Here is a 16,505-nt window from a genome sequence, read left to right on the forward strand (position 1 = left end):
CCCTCGCTGAGGCTTGTTGTCCATTGCGATGATCTTTTCCTTTCCTTTGCCTACGGTTAACATTGGTCCTGATGATTAGTTTGTCTGTGTTCTGTGACCTCATTATTCATTCAAGCCCAGGCCCTTCTCCAGTCATCTGAACCTGTTGCCCGGCATCTGCCAGAGGAGGCCCCCCCACCAGCCTCCCACAGCTCCATCCTCGCTGGGGCCTGGTGCCTCTGGGGCTTCCTCCCCTGTCTGCTGGGCTGGGCCTTCTGGTTCTGGGATCCCTGATCTGCCTTTCTCTTGCTTTACTCTCTGTGTGTTCAGGGGCTTACTGCCCAGCTGCTTCCTATAAAAGAGGATGTGAGCTGTAACTTTGGAGCGTTTGAGCACCTGGGAGTGTCTTTATTCTGTTTTTACTCTTGCTTGATCCATTGTAGGGACCAGCACCCCCAGGGGGAGCTGTTCTCCTTCAAAGTTGGGGGTCGCTTCGTTCCCTGGGCCTCCTGCCTCAGGCGCTGCTGCAGAGCAGGTGCCCCTGCTGACACTGACCCGTGATGGGTCCCGATTTTGCTTTTTCTGTTTGGCTTTGCTTTCCTCTCTGAAAGTTTATAGGATCCTCTGCACCCAATTTGCTGAAATTTCACCATGATCTATGCTTGCAGCTAAACTGCAGGCTGTTTTCATGCATTGTGCCAAGCCTTGGTGGACACTGGAAATCTCTGCTTCCATTCTGGGAAATCGTCTTTCCTGATTGCTCCTACCCACTTTCCTCTGTTTTCTCCCGTTCTTCCCGAACTGCCTGTGTCCCAGCATTGGCCCCTCTGGAGTGCAACTCTCATTATCCTCTGTTCTCCCCTATATTCCAGCTATTTGCCTTCTCATTCCACTTCATGGAAGATTCCATTTGCTCTCCCAACCTTTCTTTTTAAGTCTGTCATTTTGCTTTCTTATTTTTAATTTCCAAGAGCTCTTTCTTTTTTCCAGTTACCTCTTTTTTGGGACATCCTATTCTTATTTTAGTGATGGAAGATTTGTAATCTCTGAACCTAATAGTTGTTGTCAAATTTTTTTCTCCTGGGATAATTTTTGTTCTTCCAAATCGCTTTCCTCTGTCTCTGTCTCTCTCATGGTACAGACTTCTTCCAGTCCCGAAAATCTAACACTTGAGGGGCCTCGGGGCCTTGGTGCATGGCCCTGTCCCTTGCACTCTGACCGTCCTCTGTCCCACTTCGCTGGTACAGCCCCTTTCTCACCCCTTTCTTTCAGAGTAGCCTGGGAGGACCCCAGGGTGCAGGGAGGGTTTCACCTTTAAACCTTCCAAGAGGTAGGGGGAAAACCTGCTTTCTACCAACTGCTGTAACAAAACAGTTGAAGTTGTCACATGGAAACCATTTAAACAGCCATATTCTGTCATATTAGTAGTAAAGTTTCCCATGCCAAAGGCGATGGCCACACACAGCATGTCATGACTCAAGAGTTGAGCACCAGGTTTGGGCGAGGTGGCCCTGGGATTACACCTGTAATCCCAGCACTTCTGAAGCCCAAGGTAGGAGGATTACTTGGGGCCAGGAGTTGGAGACCAGCCTGGACAACATAGCGAGACCCCATCTCTATAAGTATAAAATAAATTAGCCAGGCATGGATTATTCCGAGTGGTCCCAGCTACTCAGGAGGCTGAGGTGGAGGATCGCTTGAGCCTGGGAGTTTGGGACTGCAGTGAGCCATGATGGCGACTGGTGACAGTCTGAGACTCTGTCTCTAAAAACAACAACAAACAAAAAGCTGAGCATCATTCCTCTAGCTATTTAATCTGGAAGTTTTCAAGCACCTTTGCCATGCAGATGCTTGGCAGAATAAACATAGAGCACCTCCTTTATTAAAAGAGTACCCCAGGCGTCTCCAGCGGCAGCACTGCATTAAATGGGTCTAGGACACCATATATATTTGAATATCTTTCTCTGGCATCAGTATCAGCTACCATGCCACTCCTGCCACACATGCAGACACATGCGCATGCACTCACACAGGTTCACACACTCACACAGGTGCACACACAGGTGCACACCCTCACAGGTTCACACATACAGATGCACACCCTCACACAGGTGCACACCCTCACACAAGTTCTCACACAGGTGCACACCCTCACACAAGTTCACACACACAGGTGCACACCCGTGCATGCGCTCACACACGGGCACACACTCACCCTGTGCTGACCTGAATGGATGCCGTCAGTCTCTTAGGGAGGCTCTGTGCCTGTTGGAGGCGTGAATTTCAGTGGAAGCCACACAGCAACTGGAACTAGAACCTGGGCATTGATTGGATGTCACGCCCCACACTCTCCTTTCCCCATAGGACTTTGTGGTTGGCCTCTCCATCCTGCTGCGGGGCACAGTCCACGAGAAGCTCAAGTGGGCCTTTAATCTCTACGACATTAACAAGGATGGCTACATCACCAAAGAGGTAGTAGGGGGCTGGGGGCAGGGATTGTCCCCTCCTCCCCTCCTGCTGCTCCACCCCTCCCGCCGCTCTTCCTCTCCCTGCTCCTGCTGCCCACCTGTCTTCTCCCGCTGTCCATCCAGAGACTGGCCCCAGGGACAGCAGCCAGTGGGCTCTCCTCTCCTGGGCTCGGTCCTGGACACCCCGGTGTGGAGTGTGGGTTCAGGTACCCTGTACCACACATCTCGGTCCAGCTCAGCAAGTGTTCTCGGTCATACTGTCTTACACAAAAGGCCTCGGGGAGATTTAAGTGGAGAAGCCAGAGGTCCTGGCCTTGGCCCCCATCAAGTGAAGGGGGCAGTGCGGTCCCTTAAGGCATGGGTGGAGAGGGGAGCCCTCGCACATGGGCCCACAGACAGGTTTTGTTTGGTCCAAGCACTTTTTCTGCTGCCGCGTCACATTTTGGAGATAAGCACATAGCAATCCATCTCCCACTTCTCTGGGAGATGAGCTTCCCCTAGAGTCAGAAGCTCGCTCTGGGTGCCCTGGAAGCGGACAGGCTTCTCTCTCCAGCTCGTCCGGCCCCTCGCACTCACTGCCTTGGAGGTGCCCTGCACCCTTGGATGCCGCCCGCTCCCTTTGGGCCCTCACAGCCACCCCGGCCTTGCAGCAGGCTCATGCCAGCCTCCCCCTCCAGGAGATGCTGGCCATCATGAAGTCCATCTATGACATGATGGGCCGCCACACCTACCCCATCCTGCGGGAGGACGCGCCGGCGGAGCACGTGGAGAGGTTCTTCGAGGTGAGCGAGCGCCAGCCCTGCCTAGGGAGGGGAGCCTGGCAGAGGAAGGGGCTCTCGCTTTTGGGGCCACCCCGGGCAAGTGGCTTGCCCCTCTGAGCCTCCCTACTCCCCATGAGGAGGTTAAACTTGCCCCTCCAGTCTGGCTGGTTGTCAGAACCCCTGAGAAGTGAACTACACCACTGCTCTGCCCTGTGGACCTCATCTGGGGGCCAGAGCTGGGGATCCTGAGGCAGCTGACCCTGGGCCGGAGCTCCATGCCTCCTGAGAGCTGTGTGGCTCCTCCAGGAAGACGCTCTGGGAGAGGAGCAGGTTGGGGGCCTTCACCTGTATGCATGGCGGCTGCAGGGGCTGCAGGCTTTGCCTCCTACTTGCTGGGGCCACTAGACATGGGCCATCCTGTGACTCAGTTGCTCCCTCTGCCCTGGCTGCCTCTCAGGGAGGTGAGGCGGTCAGATGAGCATGGGGACAAATTCTGGGAAACCCAAGCCCAGGAGGGCTCAGGGAATTGGCCTAGGGGAGCAGTGGGGAGATGCTTGGAGCCTCAGCAGTTGGTTGGGAGGTGGCTATGAAGGGTGGATTATGTGGCCTGGATCCAGAGTAGTCACAGGGGACAAGTTAGAGTGGAGGGAGCCCACCCGCCCATCCACCCACCCGCCCATCCACCCACCCATGACTTCTGCGTCCTCAGGCCAGGGGCGGGGCTGTCTCTGCTGGGGCACAGACTCACTTTGGGCATGGCTTGGGTTGCAGAAAATGGACCGGAACCAGGATGGGGTAGTGACCATTGAAGAGTTCCTGGAGGCCTGTCAGAAGGTAGGTGGCACGGGAGGCTGGGCCACAGTTCTCTGCAGGCTCTACACGGAGGTGGGTGGTTGGCAGCGTCTGCCCCTTCCCTCACCCCAGTCCCACCCCTGCCAGTCCAGGATGTGGCAGCTGTCCTTGGCCCCTTGCCACCTCCTGGACAGCCCCAAGCTCCACTTGCCCTCTTGTCTGAGTCTCCTCCTCCCCACCCACCCCTGCAGCCCACAGCATCCCCCCACTACCCCCACACCCTCCCTCAGCCCAGTCCCTGGAGAACCTCAAGTTAGGGGCAGACATGGGGCCAGCCAGAGGGAGAGGGTCACCGTGGGGAGGCACCAGAGCTTCCGCAGTGTTGCTGCTGGCCCTTCCAGAGAGCACCTCAGGGGGCAGGATGCTGGGCCTCCAGCGCCTCTATTGCCCCACTCCCAGAGCAGTCCTGGTTAGCGCCCACCTCCTCTGGAGGCCAGCCGGGATCGCCTTCATCAGCTCATCCCAGATGGGCTTGCAGTCAGGAGTGGGGTTGAAGACAGGCTGTGCCTCACCAGCTGGGGACCTCGGACCAGCTACTTCACCTCCCTGTCCCCCAGCTCCCTGCACCCAATAAGACAGACAGACAGGCAGTCGCTGCAGGCTCCGAGTCCCTGGCGGGAATCTGCTCAAGGGGGTCGGATTTGGAGCCCACCCAGCACCTGAAGGCCTCCCTTCCTCTCTCCATGCAGGATGAGAACATCATGAGCTCCATGCAGCTGTTTGAGAATGTCATCTAGGACACGTCCAAAGGAGTGCATGGCCACAGCCACCTCCACCCCCAAGAAACCTCCATCCTGCCAGGAGCAGCCTCCAAGAAACTTTTAAAAAATAGATTTGCAAAAAGTGAACAGATTGCTACACACACACACACACACACACACACACACACACACAGCCATTCATCTGGGCTGGCAGAGGGGACAGAGTTCAGGGAGGGGCTGAGTCTGGCTAGGGGCCGAGTCCAGGAGCCCCAGCCAGCCCTTCCCAGGCCAGCGAGGCGAGGCTGCCTCTGGGTGAGTGGCTGACAGAGCAGGTCTGCAGGCCACCAGCTGCTGGATGTCACCAAGAAGGGGCTCGAGTGCCCCTGCAGGGGAGGGTCCAATCTCCGGTGTGAGCCCACCTCGTCCCGTTCTCCATTCTGCTTTCTTGCCACACAGTGGGCCGGCCCCAGGCTCCCCTGGTCTCCTCCCCGTAGCCACTCTCTGCCCACTACCTATGCTTCTAGAAAGCCCCTCACCTCAGGACCCCAGAGGGACCAGCTGGGGGGCAGGGGGGAGAGGGGGTAATGGAGGCCAAGCCTGCAGCTTTCTGGAAATTCTTCCCTGGGGGTCCCAGGATCCCCTGCTACTCCACTGACCTGGAAGAGCTGGGTACCAGGCCACCCACTGTGGGGCAAGCCTGAGTGGTGAGGGGCCACTGGGCCCCATTCTCCCTCCATGGCAGGAAGGCGGGGGATTTCAAGTTTAGGGATTGGGTCGTGGTGGAGAATCTGAGGGCACTCTCTGCCAGCTCCACAGGGTGGGATGAGCCTCTCCTTGCCCCAGTCCTGGTTCAGTGGGAATGCAGTGGGTGGGGCTGTACACACCCTCCAGCACAGACTGTTCCCTCCAAGGTCCTCTTAGGTCCCGGGAGGAACGTGGTTCAGAGACTGGCAGCCAGGGAGCCCGGGGCAGAGCTCAGAGGAGTCTGGGAAGGGGCGTGTCCCTCCTCTTCCTGTAGTGCCCCTCCCATGGCCCAGCAGCTTGGCTGAGCCCCCTCTCCTGAAGCAGTGTCGCCGTCCCTCTGCCTTGCACAAAAAGCACAAGCATTCCTTAGCAGCTCAGGCGCAGCCCTAGTGGGAGCCCAGCACACTGCTTCTCGGAGGCCAGGCCCTCCTGCTGGCTGAGGCTTGGGCCCAGTAGCCCCAATATGGTGGCCCTGGGGAAGAGGCCTTGGGGGTCTGCTCTGTGCCTGGGATCAGTGGGGCCCCAAAGCCCAGCCCGGCTGACCAACATTCAAAAGCACAAACCCTGGGGACTCTGCTTGGCTGTCCCCTCCATCTGGGGATGGAGAATGCCAGCCCAAAGCTGGAGCCAATGGTGAGGGCTGAGAGGGCTGTGGCTGGGTGGTCAGCAGAAACCCCCAGGAGGAGAGAGATGCTGCTCCCGCCTGATTGGGGCCTCACCCAGAAGGAACCCGGTCCCAGGCCGCATGGCCCCTCCAGGAACATTCCCACATAATACATTCCATCACAGCCAGCCCAGCTCCACTCAGGGCTGGCCCGGGGAGTCCCCGTGTGCCCCAAGAGGCTAGCCCCAGGGTGAGCAGGGCCCTCAGAGGAAAGGCAGTATGGCGGAGGCCATGGGGGCCCCTCGGCATTCACACACAGCCTGGCCTCCCCTGCGGAGCTGCATGGACGCCTGGCTCCAGGCTCCAGGCTGACTGGGGGCCTCTGCCTCCAGGAGGGCATCAGCTTTCCCTGGCTCAGGGATCTTCTCCCTCCCCTCACCCGCTGCCCAGCCCTCCCAGCTGGTGTCACTCTGCCTCTAAGGCCAAGGCCTCAGGAGAGCATCACCACCACACCCCTGCCGGCCTTGGCCTTGGGGCCAGACTGGCTGCACAGCCCAACCAGGAGGGGTCTGCCTCCCACGCTGGGACACAGACCGGCCGCATGTCTGCATGGCAGAAGCGTCTCCCTTGGCCACGGCCTGGGAGGGTGGTTCCTGTTCTCAGCATCCACTAATATTCAGTCCTGTATATTTTAATAAAATAAACTTGACAAAGGAGAGGGATTCCTGTTGGCTTTATCCTAGCTCTGAACTTCAGCTCAGCTCTTCCCACCCCTGCTGCCATTAGCCGTGGATCCTGCCTGGTGCTGTGCTGGTAAATGTTTGACAGCTGGCTCTGGGGGCAGAGAATGCCGCTCAAATTCTCAGGCTCACAGTGTGACCTCACTGAGGCCGAGTGAGGCCGAGATGCACACAGTGGGCCTTTGTGGCCTTCATGGGAAGCGCCAGCCCTGCAGCCTCCGCACAGACCCCACAGGGCAGGAGGACTTCTTCCTGAGGCACCATGTGTATTTCACCCCCAGATAATTTTTCTTTCCCAGTTCCAGGAAGTCATTCTGGGTGTCCCCTTGGCTGGAGAGTGAGGGTCACGGGGCAGAAGAAAGCAATATTTGCCTGAACACATCTCCTGGTGTTTATTTTCAGAAGTATAAGCCCTGTGAGGACAATGCCAGGGAAGGGACAAGAATGAAAGCCTGGGAGGAGGGAGGAGGAGGGTTCCCCAACTCACCAGTTCAGATTGAAGAAATCCAAACACGTTCTAAGCAAGTGAGATAAAAGGGAACTCACCTAAACACGTTACGGTGAATTGCAGAACACCAAAGACAAAGAGATGGCAAAGACAGCCAGAGACAGATTGCCTGCCAGCTCTCCTCAGTGACAGTGATGCGGAAAGACGGGAATGGCATGTCCAGTTTGCCAAGAGAAAAGTAACTACCAACCTGGAATTTTACACCAGGCAAATAAAATATTTTCAATGTGGCATGGTGGCTCACGCCTGTAATCCCAGCACTTTGGGAGGCCGAGGTGGGTGGATCACCTGAGGACGGGAGTTCAAGACCAGCCTGGCCAACATGGTGAAACCCCATCTCCACTAAAAATACAAAAAATTAGCTGGGCATGGTGGCGAGTGCCTGTAATCCCAGCTACTAGGGAGGCTGAAGCAGAAGAATTGCTTGAACCTGGGAGACAGAGGTTGCAGTGAGCCAAGATGGTGCCACTGCACTCCAGTCTGGGGAGGAATAGACTCAAAAAATACATAGTCTCAAAAAATAAATAAATAAATAACTTAGGAGACTTTGCCACCAATAGATAATAGAGAAAAGGGCTTTACTTCATGTGGAAGCAAGGCGATCTCCCAGCTAAAAGTTCCAAGATGCAAGAAGCATGAAGGGTGTAGACAGCAGTAAATATTAAGGGAATCTAAAGAAATGCAATGTTACTTACAAAAATAGTAAAAAAAAATCAGCATAATTTCCAAAAATAGCTAATGCCATATTTCTAGCCTCACTGCTCTCCCAGACCTTATCGCTTCCTCATCAAGAGATGGAGACTAGTTTTCCTGCCCTCAAAACTCAGTAGGACTTCATGTGACTGTCTTGATGAATAGAACATGGCAGAAGTGAGGCTCACTCACTCACATGCGTGATAGCCGGTGCTGCTGGCAGTAAGCGGGAACATCAGTTGGGGTTGTTGGCAGGAAACATATATGGGCTCTCCATGTGGCCTGGGCTTCCCTACAATGTGGCAGCTAGGTTCCGGTTCCCAAGGGCAGGTGTCCTAAGAGAGAACCAAGCACCAGCCGTATTGCCTTTGATGAGCTAGCCTCAGAGGTCAAGCTGCATCACTTCTTCCACGTTCTAGTCAACAAGAGTCACATGAAGTCCTACTGAGTTTTGAGTGTAGGAGAACTAGTCTCCATCTCTTGATGAGGAAGTGATAAAGTCTGGGAGAGCAATGGCGCTAGAAATATTGCATTAGCTATTTTTGGAAATTATACTTTTTTTTTTTTTTTTACTATTTTTGCAAGTAACATTGCATTTCTTTATATTCCCTCAATATTTACTGCTCTCTACGCCCTTCATGCTTCTTGCGTCAGCCTCAAGCACACAGGACAGACAGAAGCTCCCCACGCACCCTTGTGACATAGTCACCCATCTGCCACAACACAAACCCCAGTTCACCATTCACCAGCTGTGTGACCTTGGGCAAGTCACACAATCTCTCTATGCCTCGGTTTTCTCATCTGTAAAACAAGCACAAGGAGAGAGCCTGCATTACAGAATCCGGCTTAGATGAGCACAGGATGTTCAGATACCACATCCAGCTCCAGCAATGGGTGGACCATCTCATGGCCTGGCTTTTGGGAGCGGACCATTCCCTGCCCCAGAACTGCTTCTGCGAAACGCGGCTGCCCTCTGCCTCGATTCTCTGTCATGTGCAGCATCTTCTCTCCGTTAGGGCACACTCCCACCTCCCCCAGAGGAGTTGACTGGACTGAAGATGGCCCTTTCTGCTGGGCATGTCTTTCCCCTGCCAAGCCTTTCAATGGCCCATGGATTGGCTTCCCATGGGACAGGGTCGGGGCTGGTCCAATCCGCTCTGGGAGCCAGCACTGTGCGGCTCCCATCCAGACATCAACGCAGAAGTCTGGGTGGGAAAGGGGCAAAGGCAGGGGAGTCCTCTTGCTCCCCTCACCCTGCCCTGAGGACAGAGTAGAGCTGTGTCCCCAGTCCACATCCCAGGTGACTGCTTGACATATGCCATGTCTCTAAAGCCTTGTAGCATCTAGGGCGCAGGGCAATGCTTCCATTCGGGAACTTTCTGTGTCATCTTGAGAATGTCAGTTTACCTTGCTGAGCCTCGGTTTCCCTTATCTGTAAAATAAGCAACGACAACACAAAACTCCTCTGCTAGGGCTGGTGTGATGATTTCGCATGCACATCTACTCGTCTCTTAATAAACACGGGCGTCCCTCCTTCCTAGCCACTGACGTGTGCCTGCATCTCTCCCTTTTTACGAAATGGTGACTCACACCCATAAGCCATCAGAGAGCGGACAGACATTTCAGGAGTTTCCAGGTATTGGAAACAAATCCGTGCTGGTCCCCAGTTTTCCTGGTAACCCCAAGGCCCGTGTGAGGACCAGCAGGCTGAGGAGGGGTAGTCTGGGCCATCGGGCCACAGCAGGCCACTCTCACTGCGCGGAAATAGGGAGGGAAGAGGGCCCAGAGCTGGCGCTGGCACCCGTGGGCCTGGCCTGTCTCATTCACCCCAACAAGGGCCCTCTCGACAGCGTAGGGTGGGAAAGGCGGGTCCAGAGACGGTGGCCAGCGTGCCCACACCCTCCCCGTTGTGCCCTGTAGCACAGCTTTCCAGAGAATTGGCCGCTCGGGTTTAGAAGGTCCCAGGCTTCTCGGCTGCAGGAGAGATTTCGCAGGAGACAGGAGTGAGGCGTTCGAGTGCTGCGTCCCCCACTGACCGCCAGGGGGCGACTGGGCCCCACCGCGGCCTCCAGCTCCTTCAGTCCTTCGGCCCGAGGAAGCTCCTTGGAGGGAGCTTGTCATTTCCTTCACAGCCCCAAATACACGTTCCTATTTCTGCCTCACTCTCCACATGGTTTGCCCCCAAAACTGAATGTATCAAGTAACGAGCGCACCGAGTGCACCAAGCTGGGTGCTGGGGACAGGCATGACGCGTGCCCCGGCCTAATTCCCCGGGGCGCTCCTAAGAAGCCTGCACGTGACCCGCTAGGCTTTCCGGACCGGACCGAAGACAGCTTGCGAACCCCACTCACACCCTTCACAGGCCCCTGTCGGGTCCGGAAGGCAGGAGACAGCGGCCTTCCAGGAGCCCACGGAAGGAGACCCTTGCAGATAAATGAGGCTCACAGACCTGGACTTTGGCAGGACCACGGCCTGCCCCAGGGAGGTGGAGACGTTTCTGCACTCTCTAGGGACTCTGTGGTCCCTAACCTGTGCCCCGTGGCCCCGAACCCTCAGGAACACCAACACCGTCCTTCAAGTTCACAGCCACCTCCCAGGCTCCCGAGGCTGCACAGTGCTTCGCCCTCCCTGAGCCTAATCATTGCGTCTTTGCTTCGGGCGAGGCTTTGACCTTCACTCCCCACGCCTTCCAAGCGCTGTGTTCCCAGCTCTAGGCAAGGCAGGTGCCATTCTCCATTTATTAAACACCTTCCACACACAGGGCACAGTTGCATCTTGAGTCCACACGGAAGAGGCCGCAGTTCCTGCTGTCAGGAAATTCAAGTCTTGTGGGGACAGCAGAAGGCAGTGAGAACAGGCCCTGATGGTGATGGGGTGATGCGGGAAGTGACCTCAGGGCACAGGCTGGAGATTGCACTTGTGGGGATGCGATGGATGGCACATACATCCCCTAGAACTGTGAATAGAATAGGAGTGAGCAGAACCTTCCTTGGTGTGGGACATGTCTCCCATGTGTTCAGATCACTGTGGAGCCTTTGATCCCCATCACCTGCCCTGACTTTCTGGCAGACGCATTCCAGGCGGAGTTGTCTAGAGTGAGTAAGGCTTTGACACCTACTGTGGAGGACCTCTCTGACCCAGTTCTGCCCTCCTCCAAAGGTGGTTCTTTGATCTGTTCATTGCCCTCATCAACCTTCTGTGTCCCAGACAAGCCCCCAAGTCCAGAGGCACTGCTGCCAGCCCAAAGTAGGTACTGGGCCCTCCCCCAGCCCTCTGGCCCTCTCACCTGGGTCCCAGCCCCTTGGGTTAGGGGCCTACCAAAGGCTGGGCATTCCTGGAGAGGAAATCACTGGTCATGTGTGGGCCAGCTGCGGTGGCCTGGACTTTGTCCCAGCCACCTGATTGCCAAGGGAATGTGCAGAGTCCAGCTCCCTGCAAGGTGAGCTTCACAGGGGTCAGAGATTGGGAAAGAGAGTTGGGGGCTGGGGAGAGGTGGGGCCCTGCTTCACAGGGAAGGGGATCTGAGGGCCGGTGACAGAGCCAGCATGGCCAGGAGTAACCTCATGCCTGTGTGAGGCCAAGATGGTACCAGGAAGAAACTCTCCCCACCCCACCCACACCCCCGCCACTCAAACATCTCATGGATCTAGAAGGGGAACATACGGGTCTTGTTCGCCTTTGGCCAGAGCTGAGAGGTCCTGGCGAAGGGGCTGTGTAGCGGGCGGGGACCTGTCAGGAAGGCCCTGTGTGGCCCTGGAAGGGAGTCAGCCTCCTCCTGCACAGCGCCAGAGTGCAGCCATCTTTAAGTGGTGGTGGCAGCACTCAGTGGACCACCATTGCCTCCCCTGCCCACCCCCACCCGACTGCTGCCTGGCCACCGAGGGCCATCAGTCTTAGCACTGGGCTCCATGCCAGCCCTGCGCACCTTTCTGTTCTCTCTGTTCCTCAAGCAGGAAACCCGGCTTCTCTGGAGCTCACCAGGCCCAGCCATACCTGCCTTTGCTCCTGCTCTTTGACCCGTGCACAGAGCTCCCTCTGTTCAGCTCTTGACCAGCTTTGAACATAATCAAACCCTCCACGGATAAAGGATCTATGTCTACCCCATCCCTCTGCCTGAGATAAAAGGCCCCCAGGAACTTCTCTCTTGCTTGTGGCCTTGGGCACCATGAGGGCAAGGAGGAAGGTCTCCTGACCGAGCACCACTCTTCTGCCTCCCCAGCCTCCTCCCTCTTCTACTGCCAGTAGCCCCCAGTCTCACTGGGGGACCCCTCCTCCATTCTCCATCCATGAAGCCTTGGAGTCAGCCCTCACCTCCAAGGAAAAAAGAGCAAGGCCAGGCCTAAGCCACTGGGTGCATTGCCCCCCTCGGGTCATAGTGATTGGTGGAGGGGCGGGCACATGACCTGATTATCGTCATTAAGGCCCAGGGAGACCTTTGCTGGGAAGGCTGGGAAAGATGCTCCCTCCTCCCCCATCTCTGAAGCTGCAAAGGTGTGAGTCCTGGAGCTGTTGCTGCCATTTTGTCACTGTGAGGAGCCATGGAAGGAAGCCAGCAAGGGAAGTCCTCACTGAGAGGAAACAAAACCTGGGAGAGCATCAGCCCTGCAACTGCACCTGAAGCCACCTCCTTCCAATCGCTGGACTATTCACTTATGCGAGCCAGTGGGGAGGCAAGACTCAGCCAGTGCTGCTGAAGTGAAGGTCACAGGGAGGGAGGCCCTGGCAGGGCTCCCAGGGAGGGGCCAGGCACAGGGCCCTGAGCCTTTGGGGTCGTGAGGCCAGCTGTGGGGTTACACCAGGGTTGAAGGCTCTTAGAGATATATCTGCTGGCAGGCTGCCTGCACTGGAGGGCCTCAGCCTGGGCACCCACCCCAGCCCAGCCCCTCCTCCATGTACTTTCCTCTCCCGAGCTCTCCTGGCTGTGTCCCAACCCAGGAACACAGCATGTGACGCCAGGTGGCACTTTTTCCCAGTTTTGAAAAATCACTAAATACAGTAAAACATCCAGAAACTAAAAATAAGGCCCCAAGGAGCCAGGCATCCGTTATTTCCTGACAGCCAACCAGGATTTAGAAATCCGCAAGTTTCTTGCTTTGTTGACAAACTTTCCCAGCAGAAAACTTCCCAAGTAGGTAGAAGTGTGTTCTGGGCAGAGCAAATGGGCCCCAGAGGAGAAGAATCACTGGTCTCCTCCTTTCACCCCCACCGTGCCCCCACCCCATTCCCTGCCCACTCCAGGGCCCCATTCCTGCTGCCCCTGCAGATGTGGAAAAAGCGACAAGACACTGTTTGGCAGGGACAACCATCTATCCCATCTATCCCACCCGATCCCCCGTCTGCCCATTGCTTCATTCATTGAAACAAAAACCAACAAAAAATAAGTTGTGCACCCAGCACTGTGCCAGGGAATGGGGATAAAATAGCAGAATACCTGCAAAGCCTTCCCTGGTGGAGCCTATACTTTTTCAGAGACAAGACGTTAATAAATTAAATCCTATGAAAAGTATAAATTTACACCCGATGTCATGATCAGGAAGATGAGGCCTATGGTTTGATGAGAGCTTTGGGCCAGGCGCCATGACCTGGGTGCTCCACCAGGGAGCAGCCTTTGAGCCCAGCTTGCAGGATGAGGAGGAAGGGGCTGGGGAAAGGGGTGAGGGATGGAAGGGAGACAGCACTGCCAGGGGCTGTGGCCAGATCCCAGGCACAAATGCTGGGGAAATGGGAGAGGCCCACAGGGCAGAGCCACCCTGAAGGTGTTGGCCTCAGCCTGAGAGCAGCACAGAGCCACTGAGGAGTATTAAATTAAATTGGTGTTTGAAAACCCCACTCTGACTGAAACATGGACACCAGATTGGAAAGGACCCGAGTGGATGCAGAGAAACCAGAGAGGAGGCTATTCTGTTTAGCTATTGCCACATAGCCACTGAGCTTTATCACATGTCACAAGGCCGGGGCTTGACTGGGCCCACTAGGTGATTCTTGGCACGGTCTCTCAAGCCGATTGCAATTAGATAGCAGCTGAGGCAGAAGTCAATTGATAGTTGGAGTGTTCATGGCCAATAGGCATGAGCTGTGGAGCCTCTGGAAGGCACTAATAGAACCATCACAGCTGGACTGCTAGGATTGTGGAGCCAGTCTAAACCGTCTCCTGGAGACAATCACTCTTATTTTGAGAAACAGCCTCTTGCTTTGCTGTTGGGCTTTGGTAAAGACTGAAAACCTAACCATGGGCTGTCAGGCGACCACATGGCCTGAGCTTCCTAAAACAATCTGTATTGTCTGACCCACCTAGTCATAAGCTGGACGTGCCATCAAGTGGTAGTGGCAGATAAGAGCTGGAGCTCAGGCAGTGGGGAGGGGATAGCTAAGCTGCAGGAGCAGGTGGCTCAGGTTCTTTTGATGGCAAGTTCAGTTGCATTGCTTCCTCTCCCTCCATCCCTGCCTATGGCTTTCTGCATGTTCTTTAGGATCAGTTTACTGAGGAAGAAGAAACTCAAGCAAGACTTACTAATGGATCTGTACAATCGGCCTATACCACCCAAAAGTGACAAACTGCACATGGCAGCCCCACTCAGGGATGACTCTGAAGGGCAGTGGTGAAGGAAGTCCTCCCATTAGATAGAACTTTAAGCAGTATATTTGGCTGTCTGGAGTAAGAGATGGCGGAAAGTATGGTGGCAGGAATGGGGTCTATGCATGGTCTCAACTATGTGGATTTCCCCTTCTCAAGGTGGACCTGGCTGACGCTACTGCTCAGACTCAGTCAGCCAACAACAGAGACCAATGTCAAGTCCCTGCTATGGCACCATTCCCCATGGAAACTGGCCAGCCACCTGGTGTCAGGTTGATTACACTGGACCTCCTCCATCATGGAAGAGGCAGAGGTTTTCCCCGATAGGACACATATTCTAGAGGGTTTCAACTTCCCTGCCCAGCATCGTCTATGGACTATAAGAAGCGGGAGTGCTTCTCTCACGAGTACATCTAATAACCTCACTTACAGCAGTTTTGTTTCTTGTCCTGGCCACTTTGAGCTCTGCTGGCTTGGAGATATTAGTACTCAAAGGGACAGTGCTTCCCCCAGGAGACAGAGAAGTTAAGACTGCTTCCTGGTCATGTTGGGTTCCTTATGCCACTGAATCAACAGGCAAAACAAGAGGGTTGATCCAGTGGCTGCAGCGATGGGTCGATCCAGTGGCTGCAGCGATGGGTCCTGATGACCAAGGGGAAAATTTGGTTCCAAGGGAAATATGGTTGCTACAATAGATGCAAGATTCCAGCGAGTTTCACCAGTGTAAAACTACAGCATCCTGTCTGCCGTCTCCAGCGAGATCTGGCTCTCATGGTCTGTGGGGTGGGAGCTTCTTCCTTGGGTGCTTCCTTGTATCTTAGGAGTTTGGCTGCTTTTTTTTTTTTTTTTTTTGAGACAGGGTCTCCCTCTGTACCCCAGGCTGGAGTACAGTGGCGTGATCATGGCTCACTGCAGCCTCAATCTCCCTGCCTCAAGTAATCCTCCCAGCTCAGCCTTCTGAGTAGCTGCAACCACAGATGCACACCACCATGGCTGGCTAATTTTTTTATTTTTTATTGTAGAGACAGGGTCTCACTATGTCGCCCAGGCTGGTCTCAAACTCCTGGGCCCACGAGATCTTCCTGCCTTGGCCTGCAAAGGGCTGGTATTACAGGCATAAAACACCACGCCCAACTTGGCTGCTCCTTATATCTAGTTCTTCCTTAGTCCTTAGAGTTCTCTTTACTTGTTACCAGCCTATCCCTCATGGCTCCAATCCCCTGTCATAGTTGCTACTTCCCTGTATTAAACTCAGTCTGTTCCAATCCCTGTGTGATTTCTCTCTCCTGATCAGACCTAGACTGATGCACTGTCCTGAGAGCCAGGAGGCAGCTGGGTCACTGATTAGAACCTAGTTGTGATGAACTGGATTGTGCCCTCTCCTCATCCACATGTTGAAGTCCTAACCCCAGTACCTCAGAATGTGACTGGATTTGGTGATAGCGCCTTTAAAGAGGTAATGCAATTAAAATGAGGGCTCTAGGGTGGGCACTAATCCAACCTGATTGGCATCCTTATAAGGAGAGGAAATTAGGACACATAAAGAGACACAAGTGCCATGTGTGCACAGAGGGACAACCATGTGCAGAGGCAGCCAGGAGACAGCCACCTGTAAGCCAAGGAGAAAGGCCTCAGAAGAACCCAGCCCACCGACACTATGATCTCAGACTCCTGGCCTCCAGAACTGAGGTGACAAATTGCTGCTGTTTAAGCCCCCCAGGCTATGGTACTTTTTGCAGCAGCCAAGCAGGCTGACAGGCTAGCTGTGGAAGGAATGCAGGGTCCTTCCCCCATACTCTACTTGTCAGAAGTGAATTGCTAGGTTCCGCCCGCAATAAAGGCAATGGACATGGAAGACATGTCAAATAATTTGAGGACATG

General features: G+C 55.1%; 1 protein-coding gene and 1 long non-coding RNA gene across 3 annotated transcripts in view, besides 3 other annotated features; one reads left to right on the plus strand and one right to left on the minus strand.

Moving 5' to 3' along the window:
- Positions 1 to 6,825, plus strand: part of KCNIP3 (potassium voltage-gated channel interacting protein 3) — an 88,731-nt gene extending 81,906 nt beyond the window's left edge. For both annotated transcript variants that reach the window (NM_013434.5, NM_001034914.2), the window contains 4 exons: positions 2,344 to 2,451; positions 3,125 to 3,229; positions 3,980 to 4,042; positions 4,750 to 6,825. In NM_013434.5, the coding sequence (NP_038462.1) occupies positions 2,344 to 2,451; positions 3,125 to 3,229; positions 3,980 to 4,042; positions 4,750 to 4,797 (324 nt within the window). In that variant the 3' untranslated portion in view covers positions 4,798 to 6,825. The remainder of the gene's footprint in view (positions 1 to 2,343; positions 2,452 to 3,124; positions 3,230 to 3,979; positions 4,043 to 4,749) is intronic.
- Positions 2,731 to 2,930: a silencer, noted in NCBI's record as "fragment chr2:96047731-96047930 (GRCh37/hg19 assembly coordinates)". NCBI's record gives its function as "represses an EF-1alpha promoter that drives an FKBP-Casp9 reporter gene in an ReSE screen in K562 erythroleukemia cells {active_cell/tissue: K562}" and the evidence as "EXISTENCE:reporter gene assay evidence [ECO:0000049][PMID:32094911]".
- Positions 6,115 to 7,015: an enhancer, noted in NCBI's record as "H3K27ac-H3K4me1 hESC enhancer chr2:96051115-96052015 (GRCh37/hg19 assembly coordinates)". NCBI's record gives its function as "activates a minimal SCP1, AML or CMV promoter by ChIP-STARR-seq in naive H9 embryonic stem cells {active_cell/tissue: H9 hESC(naive)}" and the evidence as "EXISTENCE:reporter gene assay evidence [ECO:0000049][PMID:30033119]".
- Positions 6,449 to 6,743: a silencer, noted in NCBI's record as "tiled region #3005; HepG2 Repressive DNase matched - State 8:EnhW". NCBI's record gives its function as "represses a minimal TATA promoter and a strong SV40 promoter by Sharpr-MPRA in HepG2 cells {active_cell/tissue: HepG2}" and the evidence as "EXISTENCE:reporter gene assay evidence [ECO:0000049][PMID:27701403]".
- On the minus strand, positions 10,775 to 11,640 carry LOC124907858 (uncharacterized). Its single transcript, XR_007087140.1, has 2 exons — positions 11,337 to 11,640; positions 10,775 to 11,006 (listed from the first exon to the last, which is right to left on the minus strand). It is a non-coding gene; the product is annotated as an uncharacterized LOC124907858 (long non-coding RNA).
- Between the last annotated feature and the right edge of the window lie 4,865 nt (positions 11,641 to 16,505).

Source organism: Homo sapiens, chromosome 2 (genome assembly GCF_000001405.40).
Source record: "Homo sapiens chromosome 2, GRCh38.p14 Primary Assembly".
Taxonomy (NCBI): Eukaryota; Metazoa; Chordata; class Mammalia; order Primates; family Hominidae; genus Homo; species Homo sapiens.